Source organism: Homo sapiens, chromosome 9 (genome assembly GCF_000001405.40).
Source record: "Homo sapiens chromosome 9, GRCh38.p14 Primary Assembly".
In the NCBI taxonomy this organism is placed as follows: Eukaryota; Metazoa; Chordata; class Mammalia; order Primates; family Hominidae; genus Homo; species Homo sapiens.
In genome coordinates, this window is record NC_000009.12 from 124215011 (window position 1) to 124227415 (window position 12405).

Sequence of the window (12405 nt, forward strand, 5' to 3'; positions counted from 1 at the left end):
ACGGCGGACACGTGTACTACTCCTGGCCACATGCCAGATTCACAAACTCAGGGCTCCTTTCCCTTCCCCACAAACATCCCCCAACCTCCTTGATTCTGCATGTGCTGCTCCTCCTGCCTGGAAAGGCCTTCAGCTACAACCAACCTGAAAAATTCCTTTAGGTGCCTGTTTGGGCTCCACTCAAATACCATCTTGTGCACCAAGCTTTCCAGTCAAAAGGAATCCCTTCCTCCCCCCCAGTCCCTGGGGGCTTCCCTTGAACCCCAAACATGACCCTTACTGGCAGCCATCTGGTGTTACAACAACATAGATGCTGACACATCTGTCCCCCACCAGCCATGGGCTCCTCAAGAACAAAGAGCATGTCTGTGTCACAGCTGTACCCCCAGTGCCCAACACAGAGCCCAGCGTGGATGCGGTGCCTCAGTTTCCTCACATGAATCATGGGGGGATAATGGCATCCACTTCATCCTGTCCTGGGGAGGGTCTGATGAGTGAATGTGTTTAGACTGCTATACTTGGAGCAATGCCTGGCACTAGGGAAGCATCGGACACATGTTATTCTCATCAATATGGTTCTGAATGGACTTGGAAGACCCAAGTGAAAGCAGTGCCAGCTTCTATGGGGCACCTACAACTGCCCTGTGTCACCCTGTTTTACAGATGAGGACACTGAGGCCCGGGAAGGGTCACACAGCTAGACAGGGCACAGCCAGGACCTGAGTCCAGGTCTGTGACCACAGTGCCTGTGTCCTCTCCTGCACCATGCTGCTGCAGGCCCTCTCTGTCTCTCTGTCTCTCTCTGTCTCTCTTTCTGCCTCCCTGACGTTCTCCCCACCCAGGGGTAGCTCTCCAGAGGCTGTCGCAGGTAGTGGATGAAACATGGACCTTTTTTTTTTTTTCCTTAAGACAGAGTGCCGTGGTGTGATCTCGCCTCACTGCAACCTTTGCCTCCCAGGTTCAAGCAATTCTCCTGCCTCAGTCTCCCGAGTAGCTGGGATTACAGGGGCCCGCCACCACGCCGGCTAATTTTTGTATTTTTATAAAGACGGGGTTTCACCATGTTTGCCAGGCTGGTCTCGAACTCCTGACCTCATGATTCGCCCGCCTCAGCCTCCCAAAGTGCTGGGATTCCAGAAATGAGCCACTGCGCCCAGTCGGACATTGATTTTTAACAAACGTGGGTTCAAATCCTGGTCTGCCATTCACCAGCTATGTGACCGTGTTGGGCCTGTGGCATCCGCTCCCTGAGCCTCAGTTTCTCCACCGTCTCCTGAGGACTTGAGGACACTGTCTAAAGGCAGGTTTGCCATAGCACTGTGAAAGCATCGGCTTTGGGGCTCCTCACTTGCACAGGCCCTTTTGGAATACAAATTCACTTTCATAGGTAAGTTTGAATTTGATTCTTTTGTCTTCAGGCTCCCCACTCCAGTCTACCCCAAGACTCTCTCTCAGATCCTTCTAGCTGGGATGAAAGACCAGGGGCAGGGTGGCAGAGCACCCATGTTTACCCCACTCCCATACTCTGCCCAGAGGTCGGGGCCTGTCCACCGTTGGGCCTCATGTCACAGATGGGGACATGGCCTGGCAGGGCGAAGGGACTTCAGGAGATCATACAGTAAGTTAGTGTCACAGCCGGACTTGGAGCCACATCTCCCAGCTTCAAGGCTCCCTGTTGTGCTGTGGGGAAGGGGTGCACAGGGCTGGCCCGGGGACAGGGCCTGTTCCTCACTTATGAGTGCCGTGGGCTGGGGCTCAGAGGGTGACTTGGTGCCTTGTAAGGGGGCCAGGGGCAGCTGTGGGTGGGGGTGTCCGGGGATTACTGCTAAAATAAGTAGCAGCTTCCTCTGAAACGCCTCTGTGGTCTGTGGAGGGGAAGGAAGTGGAGGACCGGAAACAGGGGAGGCAGAGAGGTGAGAGGCTGAAACTTCTGCCAGCATAGCAGAGACCAAGCTGGGCACCCCCCACCCACCCAGACACAACAGTTGGCCTCTGCCAGGCTGCAGCCTTGGGGCTGCAACCAGGAGGGCCTGGGAAGCTCAGGCCCAGCCCTAATATGGCCACCCAGAGGCTAGAGAATCCCTCTAGGTTGCTCCTGGCTGGCTGGGCTTCTTCCCTTCCTCAAGACACCAGTCACTTCATGCACCATTCTCTTTGCCTGGAATGCCCTTCTCTACATTTTCCTTTAGGGCCCAACACCAATGTCACCTCTTCTGGGAAGCCTTCCCTGACCACCCACCACACACACACACACACACACACACACACACACACACACACACAGAGAGAGAGAGAGAGAGAGAGAGAGGCAGGACAAGACAGCCACAGACCTTCATCATGAATAGTGGCATTCACTGTGACAGTGGCGTTCATCCAGTGCTTCATGTTTATGAACTGCTCTGCATGGATGATCTCATTGAATGTTTACAAAAACACAATGTGTGGTTCTATCAATAGCTTCATGTTACAGACGAGTGAACCAAGGCTCAGAGATGAGCAACTTCCCCAAGGTGGCATAGTCAGAAAATGGCTGAGTGGGGAGTGTGACCCAGGTCTGACTCCACAGCTAGGTCATTGAACCATGCACTATCCTCTGAGACTGGGATGGGATCAGTGTTGTGCAACTTGCCTGCTCCAAGGAGGCTGCATTGTGACCCTAGCAAAGCTTCATTTTCAGCCTTGCCCTTCCCAGCACCCCTGGAGTAGCTGGGAGCTATAGAGTACTCTAGGGAGAGAGGGAAACCAGCTTGTAATGAGGAAGCATTTCCATGTAAACATTTCTGGTAAACTGTGTGAAGGGATCTCAGAAGTATCTCCAAGCCCTTGATACTGTCTTGGGTTTTGTTTTCTCCTTCTAAATAAATGCTTTTGAATCTAATTTTGTATTCTGTTTCTACAGATGGGGCTTCCAAAATTGAAAAGCTTCAGACTTCACAAATCCTAGGTCCACCCTGCGGTGCCCTGTGACTTAACCACAACCACTGCACTGCCTGGGCTTCCCCAGCCCTCTCCAAGGCCCGCTTTCACTGTACCGGGGTTTTCTATTTATGGATCCGCCCTGCTACCCGCCACTCCCACAACCCCCACCCATAGATGGGCCATGAGCTCCTCATGGGCAGAGGGCGAGCCCTGGTTTCTTGGTACCCTAGGGACTGCTTGGTATATAGAAGCCCAGGACAGATTTGTTACATGAGGGAATAAAGGAGTAAATGAATGAGTGAATGAATGAATATGGGTCCCTTCAATGCCATCAGGAAGTATGAGAGATACAACTCCAGCTTTAAAACTCCAGGTCAGCTGGGTATGGTGGCTCACCCTTGTAATCCCAATACTTTTGGAGGCTGAGGTGGGCGGATCGCTTGGGCCCAGGAGTTCAAGACCAGCCTGGGCAACATGGTAAAACCCCATCTCTACAAAAATTAACTGGGCGTTGTGGCATGCACCTGTCATCCCAGCTACTCGAGAGGCTGAGGTGGGAGAATTGCTTGAGCCCCGTTAGTGGAGACTGCAGTGAACTGTGATCGCACCACTGCACTGCACTGCAGCCTAGGCGACAGAGTGAGACTCTGTCTCAAAAAAAAACTCAAGGTCCATCTCCCTGTGTGCCAACCCTGCATGGGTGTTGAGGGTGACTGACAATTTGGACAGGGTTCAGCTGAAGCCAGTCTCTAGCAAGGAGGCCCAAAGCCCCTCCGGTCACTCTGCTCCCTACAGAGGCAGCACTCTAGGCCCCAGGCCTGGACCTCAAGGCTGCAGCAGGGCCCCTGGCCGCCCCCTATAGCCTTGGAAGCCCCTGAGAAGAGGCCCTTCAGTGCAGCTGCAGCAGGTCAGACGCCTCCTCTGGAGAAGAAGGAAGTGAAAGTGCTGTGGTGGGTGAGTCATCGGAGTGTCCCTCTGGACGGATTGATGCCATGAGTGGCATAAGAGGGACAGGCTGGGAGGGAAGAGACACCAGGGTTAGGAGCCCTTTTAGTATCCTCCAGGAAGGCCCCACCTCACCTCCCAGCCCCTCCCAGACACAGGGGTCTTCAGCTTGGAGAAGAGAATGCCTTGGAGATGCCATCTTTGTCCTAGTCTCTGAAGTGGGTAGAAATTAGACAAGGTCCACAGCAGAGGGGGAAGATGGAGTCAGATGGGGAGGTCACAGAGGCTAACTGGTTGCCACCAGGGCCAGGCTCTGGTGGGCTGGCTGCTGCCTGGCAGTAGTGATGGCCAACAGCAAGTAGGGTGGTCTCCTGCCATGGGTCAGGATGTGGATTCTGGATTTGAACCTCATGTCCTCAAACCCCAGCTCTGCCCCTCATGAGCTGCAGGATCCCAGGCAAGTGGCTTCCCCTCTCCTTCCTCTGCTGTCGAGTGAGATCATAGCACTTAATGCATAGGATGAGCAGGGCATGATTAGATACATTACTGTATGTAAAGTGCATAGAAGAGTGCCCGTTCCCAGGAAACCCACAATAAACAGTAACTACTGTATCAGGCAGCATCTCATCAGGAAGCCTGAAATGCCCTAGGTTTTGAACAGAAGGGATTTAATACAGGGGCTTGTCTTCCAATGGAAGGACTGAGAAACAAAACAGGGAATGGTGCAGCCGCCCAGGGATAGGACTTTGCAGTCATATTCTACTTCCTACTGATGCTCGTCCTCAACCTAGTTGCTTTATGTCTCAGAGCTTCAGTATTTTCACATGTAAAAATGGGAATAAAAAGGACCTTTTTTAATTTATTTTTTTATTTTTTAGATGGAATCTCCCTCTGTCGCCCAGGCTGGAGTGCAGTGGCGTGATCTCGATTTGCTGCAACCTCCGCCCCCTGGGTTCAAACAATTCTCCTGCCTCAGCCTCCCTAGTAGCTGGGATTACAGGCATGTGCTACCACACCCGGCTAATTTTTGTATTTTTAGTAGAGACGAGGTTTTGCCATGTTGGCCAGGCTGGTCTCCAACTTCTGACCTCAGGTGATCCGCCCACTTTGGCCTCCCAAAGTGCTGAGATTACAGGTGTGAGCCACCGCGCCTGGCCGATATTTTTTTTTGAGACAGAATCTCACTCTGTCTTCCAGGCTGGAGTGCAGTGGCGCGATCTCGGCTCACTGCAAGCTCCGCTTCCCGGGTTCAGGCCATTTTCCTGCCTCAGCCTCCCAAGTAACTGGGACTACAGGCGCCTGCAAGCACGCCCAGCTAATTTTTTGTATTTTTAGTAGAGACGGGGTTTCACTGTGTTAGCCAGGACGGTCTCCATCTCCTGACCTCGTTATCCACCTGCCTCAGCCTCCCAAAGTGCTGGGATTACAGGCGTGAGCCACAGTGCCCGGCCGATATTTTGTTTTTAAGAATGAAATAGGATAATGTAGGTAGAGTGTTTGGTAGAGTACTGGCTCAGCGTAAGGACTCAACAATGATCCTAGCAATCGCTTATGCAACACGCTAGTTCTCATGACAGTTCTATGAAGCAAGTACTGTGATCACTATGACTCCTATTTAACAGAAGAGAAAACTGAGGCATGGAGAGATCAAGTCACGCAACTAGTAAATGGCAGAGCTGATCTGAACCAAACTGTTGGGCTCCTAAGTCCCACCCTTAACCATTACACTATGCCCCCTTCCCATTTCACCATCAACAGCTCTCTCCCCAGTCAGCCTCACTCAAGCTCAACGCCGCTCTCCTTCTCAGAATTTTACCCAGGGCCTCCAACTCAGATCAATAACCAGCATCTGCTCCCAAGGGTAACACCTGACACCTGACTTCTCACCTTTTTCCCAGGCCTGGGGCCCTGGAGTCACCAGGGTTTGAGTCCTGACTTTGCCCATTTTCCAGCCGTGGAGCTTGTAGAAGGCACTTCTCTTCCTAAAGCTTCCGTTTCCTCCACTGCAGCATGGGGAGGGAGGCTTGTCCTAAATTTGTTGGCCTGTGGTGGAGACAATTTGAAGCCACACTCACGGAGCAGGTCACACTGGAAGCGTATGTGTGTTCAGTGTGTTCCCTGGAAGCGTATGTGTGTTCAGTCCATGAAACTCTGATCAACAGTTAATCATATCCCCAGAGTCCTGGGGACACTGCCAAGTATTTCTTTGCTTTTCCCAACACGTTCTCAGCCCCTGCAGTGTGCATCGTGGGCAAGTGTGCTGGGCAGTCCTGTGTGCTTGCCCCTCTCCTGCAAACTGCTTTTCCCAGTTTCCTTTGCCAACTGGCTTCCTGTTAGGTTGGGCCAAGGGGAAGCACTGGCAGGAGATTGGAGCATGGGAGGAGGGGACAATCTGGGTATTTCTCCCTCCCTCTGCTTAGGGAGGGAGTGGGAGTGGCCTTTCCCCAGCACAGGCTGCTCTCTTCTGTGTCTTTGGCTGCTCTAGAACCACCCGGTCATCTGCAGTTCCAAGTCTCCAGGTGGCTCTGATGATTCAAGTTACTCCTGGGCAGTATCACTGCCTCTTCCTTTTGTCTCTCCACCCCTAAGTGGTAGCACCTTTTGCCATTGTGGAACAAGCACTTGCCTCACCATTTGCTGTTTGGCTTTTCAGCTCTTCCCTCTTCCAGGTAACCAATTCCCTATATTAAATTTCCTCTGTTGGAAATACCTAGAGTGGTTTCTGTTTTTCTGACTGGCCTTGAATTTTACAGCGGGCATCTTTGGCCCAAGAATTGTCTCTCTCTTCTCCACTTACAGAGTTTTTATCCTAGAGGGGCAGCATCAGACCCCTGAGGGCATGTCACAGGCGGGACTAATGGAAGAGGCTCTAGCTCCTTCTAGCTCTTTGCAGTAAACTTACTACAAGACAGCAAAGCTTTCTCATGCTACCACTGACTGTCTCTTGTGACATAGGTGGAGTAGCATTGCGCTACTCTGCTGTCTCTCTACTTCACCTTCCTGAAGACTTATTGCACAAAGGGTGGGTGGAGCTGTCGAGAACCAGGGGAGAGAAGAAAGTAGTGAAGGGGGCAAAGAAGCCCTTCCTGGCACACTAGCAAAGTGCCTAGTACAGGGGAGGCATTCAGCAGGGTATCCATTCCTTCCCCTTCAGCATCTGTTGAAAATCAGGCTGGAGCCTCAAATATTGGAACCAGCCCTAAGGGGAATGAAGGCTCGTTCTGTGTCAAGACAGCTGCCCCAGGGTTCCACTCCTTAAGGAACAAAGGAGTGGGGACAGACTCCTTTCTGTGAGTAGAGGGGTGGTACTGCCTCCCACCTAGTGTCTCTGGGATTCCTTTTGGAGGCTGCTCACAGATGTCCTCCCACCTTGGCCTCCCCACTCCCATCTGCCCTTCCAGGTTCCCCGGCAGAGGTCCCATCAGTCAGTCCCCTCCCTCCAGCCCATGGTGGTGGCTCACCAGACGGAAGACAGTGGGTCCCTCAGGCCCTTGCTGGGCCTGCCCTATCCCAGGATCTGGGTCCCTAGCTTCATCTGTCACTTCAAAGCTTCCTGTCCCTCAGCCAGGGACTGAGGTAAATTCTAGGCGTTCTGGGCTCTCACTTTCCTCATGTTTGCATGTTCTTTGTGACGCGGTATCCAAGTCGCTGCACAGGTAGGAGGAGCCTGAGGGCTCATCCAGTCCAACCTCCTCCTATGCAGTTCAGATGGGAAAACTGAGGTTCAGAATAGAGACTTGCTGGAAGCATGAAAGTAATTGACAGGTTGGTAGGGGCACAGGGGGTGAAGCGTGTGACAAGCTGGGCCAAAGCTCCAGGGACACGGGTCCTACACTGGCACTTGCGTGGACATCCATGTTACCTGCACTCATGTGTAGTAAAGAGGTCATGCGTGTTTACAAACCATAGTACCACCACAGAGACCACAGGCCCAGCAAATGGGGCTCACACAGGCATGCACACACACACACGTATCCTTGATGGTAAACATGCCCACCCACCATTGTGCACACATGCGTGTATTTACACCCACATGCACACTCATCGGCACACAATCAGAGCCACACACCTGCACGTGCCCCCACAGAATCACACGTGTGTGCAGTCTCACCTATCTGCACTCTGCCATGGGCCCCATTACATACATGCATGCAAACAGATAACACACACGCCTATCAATAGCCAGGATGACTCACACACGAGGACACACATCATACCCTCACAGACTCGTGCATGGACCACCCTGCAGTCACAAAGCAGCATCCAGCATCCGACAATCTGCTGATGTCACTCCCCTGAGAGTAACCATGGCTCCATGCATAGGCAGAGGCAACTCAGCTCACAGGTGCCGCCTGTCCACATGCAGACACAGACACACACACACATACACACACACACACTCTGACAGTTCCCCAATGGCCAGCCTCCTCCACTGACTCCCCACAGCCAGGTGCTCTGACACCCTCCTTGGTGGGACCCTCTCTCTTCAAGGCGCCCAGAGCCACCTGGCTGTCCTTGGAACTAAGTGAGCACCCTGCCCACCCCCAGCCTTGTCCCCTAAACTGGGTGGTTTAGGTCTGAGGGGTGGGGAGAAGGCTGCCCAGAGTCCAAAGTTCAGGGGCCAACATCTTGTTTGCAGGCGCTGGTGGAAATTGCACAACCTGCCAGCTGGGTGACTTGGGCTTATTGTCTCTGAGTTCCCCTTGGCTGCAGGCCCAAGCCCAGCCAGTGACCTGTTTCTCTGGAAGAGGGTGGGGAAAGTGGTTCCTCCCTCCCCTGCCTGGGGAACTGGTGGCCCTCCCTGGGCACTGGTGGCTGGTCCCCAGCTATGTGTGCAACACACCTGACACTGAGATGCACAGAACTCAGCATCCAACCTGTCCTTTCCCAGATAGGAAACTGAAGCTCAGGGAAGGAAAGGCTTGCCCAGGGTCACCCAGCAAGGAGGCCCAGGAGGACTGGAACTCAGGCTCAGTTTCCTTTCTTTTCTTTTCTTTTTTTTTGTGATGGAGTCTCACTCTGTGGCCCAGGCTCGAGTGCAGTGGCGTGATCTTAGCTCACTGCAACCTCTACCTCCTGGGTTCAAGCGATTCTCCTGCCTCAGCTTCCTGAGTAGCTGGGATTATAGGCACGTGCCACCACACCCAGCTAATTTTTTCATATTTTTAGTAGAGGCAGGGTTTCACCATGTTAGCCGGTCTGGTCTCAAACTCCTGACCTCAGGTGATCTGCCCGCCTCGGCCCCTCAAAGTGCTGGGATTACAGGTGTGAGCTACCGCGCCCAGCTCAGTTTTCTTTCAAACCCTTTATCAAAAGAAATATAATCCAAAGCCAGACAGTACTAATGCAAATGAGCAGAGCTACCGTGGGTGCAAAAGGAAGGGACCCCAGAGCCCGTGAGTAGAGACCACTTTCCCTTTCCACACCTACCGTGGCTAAGTCAGTTAGTCAAAGGGTCACTGTGCCATATCACCAGATCATTGAGCTTAACAAATCTATCCCGACTTAAAACATTTTATTTATTTATTTATTTTTGAGACAGGGCCTTGCTCTTGTCACCCAGGCTGGAATGCAGTGGTGCAATCTCAACTCACTGCAGCCTCAACTTCCCGGACTCCACCCATCCTCCTGCCTCAGTCTCCCAGGTAGCCGGGACCACAGGCATGCACCACCACACCCGGCTAATTTTTGTATGTTTTGTAGAGATGGGGTTTCGCCATGTTGCCCAGGCTGGTCTCAAACCCCTGGTCTCAAGCGATCTGCTCACCTTGGCCTCCTGAAGTGCTAGGACTACAGGCATGAGCCACCCCAGTGAGCTTTTTTTCATTTTGTTTTAATTTGTAAAAGTTCCCACTGTGTGCATGAAATGAATTAGCAAGGCCATCATGGCTACGGGGGGTCAGGATCTGGGGCCTTCAGATCCCTCTCACCTCTGGGACCTGCAGCCCAGACTGGGCTTAGATCTCTATTCTGTTCCCCTCCAGTGGCAGCATCAGGGACATGGGGTAGAGACAAACTGAACATTCCTGAAAATCCAAGAAATCTTCTAAAGCTTTAAAAACCCATCCCATGCCTGCCTGTCTTTTCCCTCTCCCCTTCGCTGCCTTTCTGTATCTCTCCCTTCTTTCCTTTCTTCCTCCTGCCTGCCTACCTTTCTCAGTGCATCCAGTCAAAATCATGAGGCTCGAGGATGACAGTCACAGTGGCCCTTGTGAGGCTGGACCTGGGCGGCAGCCTGCTGCAATCAAAGATGGGTATGCACCGGGGCAGAGCAGAGGTATAGCTTAGCATGGACAAGAGGATTCAGGTTTCTCCTTGATGAGGCAGGGAGGCACAGATGCAGAAAGGAGGAAACCAGCTGGGTGCGGTGGCTCACGCGAGTAATCTCAGCACTTTGGGAGGCGGAGGCAGGCGGACCACCTGAGGTCAGGAGTTCAAGACCAGCCTGGCCAACATGGTGAAACACCGTCTCTACTAAAAAATACAAAAATTAGCCAGACATGGTGGTGTGCACCTGTAGTCCCAGCTACACAGGAGGCTGAGGAAGAAGAATTGCTTGAACCCGGGAGGCAGAGGTTGCAGTGAGCCGAGATTGTGACACTGTACTCCAGCCTAGGCAACAAGAGTGAGACTCTGTCTCAAAAAAAACAAAACAACAACAACAAAAAAAAAGCCAGGTGCAATGGCTCACACCTGTAATCCAAGCACTTTGGGAAGCCGAGGCGGGCGGATCACTTGACGTCAGGAGTTCAAGACCAGCCTGTCCAGCGTGGTGAAACCTGATCTCTACTAAAAAATACAAAAATTAGCCATGCGTGGTGGCGTGTGCCTATAATCCCAGATACTCAGGAGGCTGAGGCAGGAGAATCACTTGAACCCAGGAGGCAGAGGTTACAGTAAGTCGAGATCACACCACTGCACTCCAGCCTGGGTGACAGAGTAAGAATCCGTCTCAGAAAAAAAAAAAAAGGAGGAAACTGAAGAAGCCCATAGTGTTGGGCTGGAGTTGGAGCTCTCAGTGAGAACACATGGTGAGAATCTGTGTTTATGTGGAGAGAGAGAGAATATAGACAGAAAGGTGTGTCTATATATATACATGTATATGCACCTGCATGCATATGTGTATACATATATGCATATTTGATGTGTGTGTGTGTGTGTGTATTTTCAGCTCTGTTCACCAAGAAGGTATGGGAGCAGCAATGCTCTGGTAGCAATGAACATACCCAGTGCCAAGATCTTGTTTTCAAAATGCCATTTGGAGGAAGGCTGAGTCCTGGCTGGGAGAGAGGAAGAACAAGATGAACCTGGAACACCTTGTTGTGGCAAAAAGTCACTAAGCATTCAAAGCATAGTGTGGACATGTCAAAGGGACACAGGGGCCAGCTGGATGGGGCCACACCAAATCTGGTGTAATTGAAAAATCAAAATTAATAATGATAGCAATGAATGATAACCCACTGAATAAAATAGAAACCCCTGACTCCAACTGCTATAAACAAAAAAACGAATAAGTAACCGGACAGAAGAGAAAGCTTTTCCTGACAGTAGAATGTCAAATCATACAGAAAGAAGGAAAACCACCTTTGTCAAATATGATCATAATTATTATTTCAGGTAAGAAACATCGATGGAACCAGGTTAAAACTAGGGATGTAAATGGAGTGAAGAACAGGATATTAGCTTAGCACTGGAGCCCGGGAGTTCCAGTTCAGCCTGGGCAATATAGCTTGAGCCTATCTCTAAATAAATAAATAGACAGAAAATGAACAATTCTAGGAAAAACAGAAAGCTGCACAAGAGAATAAATGCAATCACAGTACTCTACATTGCTGGGCTATCAACACTGTTCACATGGCCACAAAATAAACCCCCAATATTTATCTAACCAAAAATTATGAGATGAGATGATCATATAAGGAAGATGGTACCAGGGGAAGTAGGGGCAGCGTGGTATGGGAAGCAAATTCTAATCTTCCAAAGTAAGAAGAGAGTAGATTATACATAAAACTGAAAGTCCAGAAATAACGGTATAGACATGTGATAACAGTGGAAGCATAAAGGCAAATAAAAAAGAAACTTGTTTCTTGTTAAAAAGCAGTTACCTCTGATGGTTGGGAACTGGGAGCAAAGATGGATTAGACAGGAGACAGCTGTTTTTCATTGTTAAGTCTTGCAGAACAAAATGCATGTAAAATTTTTTGAAAGTGAAATCAAAATATAAAAATATAATTAAAAGAAATACATGTTTAGGCCAGGCACAGTGGCTCATGCCTGTAATCCCAGCACTTTGGGGGGCCGAGGTGGGTGGATCACTTGCGGTCAGGAGTTCGAGACCAGCCTGGCCAACACGGTGAAACCCCATATCTACCAAAAATACAAAAATTAGCCGTGCGTGGGGGCACACTCCTATAGTCCCAGCTACTCAGGAGGCTGAGGCAGGAGAATCACTTGAGCCCAGGAGGCAGACGTTGCAGTGAGCCGAGATCATGCCACTGCACCCCAGCCGGTGGGGCAGAACAAGACTCAGTCTCAAAAAAA

General features: G+C 51.1%; 3 annotated features.

Moving 5' to 3' along the window:
• Positions 2021-2100: an enhancer, noted in NCBI's record as "active region_28966". NCBI's record gives its function as "activates an Ori minimal core promoter by ATAC-STARR-seq in GM12878 lymphoblastoid cells {active_cell/tissue: GM12878}" and the evidence as "EXISTENCE:reporter gene assay evidence [ECO:0000049][PMID:35858748]".
• Positions 3010-3169: an enhancer, noted in NCBI's record as "active region_28967". NCBI's record gives its function as "activates an Ori minimal core promoter by ATAC-STARR-seq in GM12878 lymphoblastoid cells {active_cell/tissue: GM12878}" and the evidence as "EXISTENCE:reporter gene assay evidence [ECO:0000049][PMID:35858748]".
• Positions 3740-4099: an enhancer, noted in NCBI's record as "active region_28968". NCBI's record gives its function as "activates an Ori minimal core promoter by ATAC-STARR-seq in GM12878 lymphoblastoid cells {active_cell/tissue: GM12878}" and the evidence as "EXISTENCE:reporter gene assay evidence [ECO:0000049][PMID:35858748]".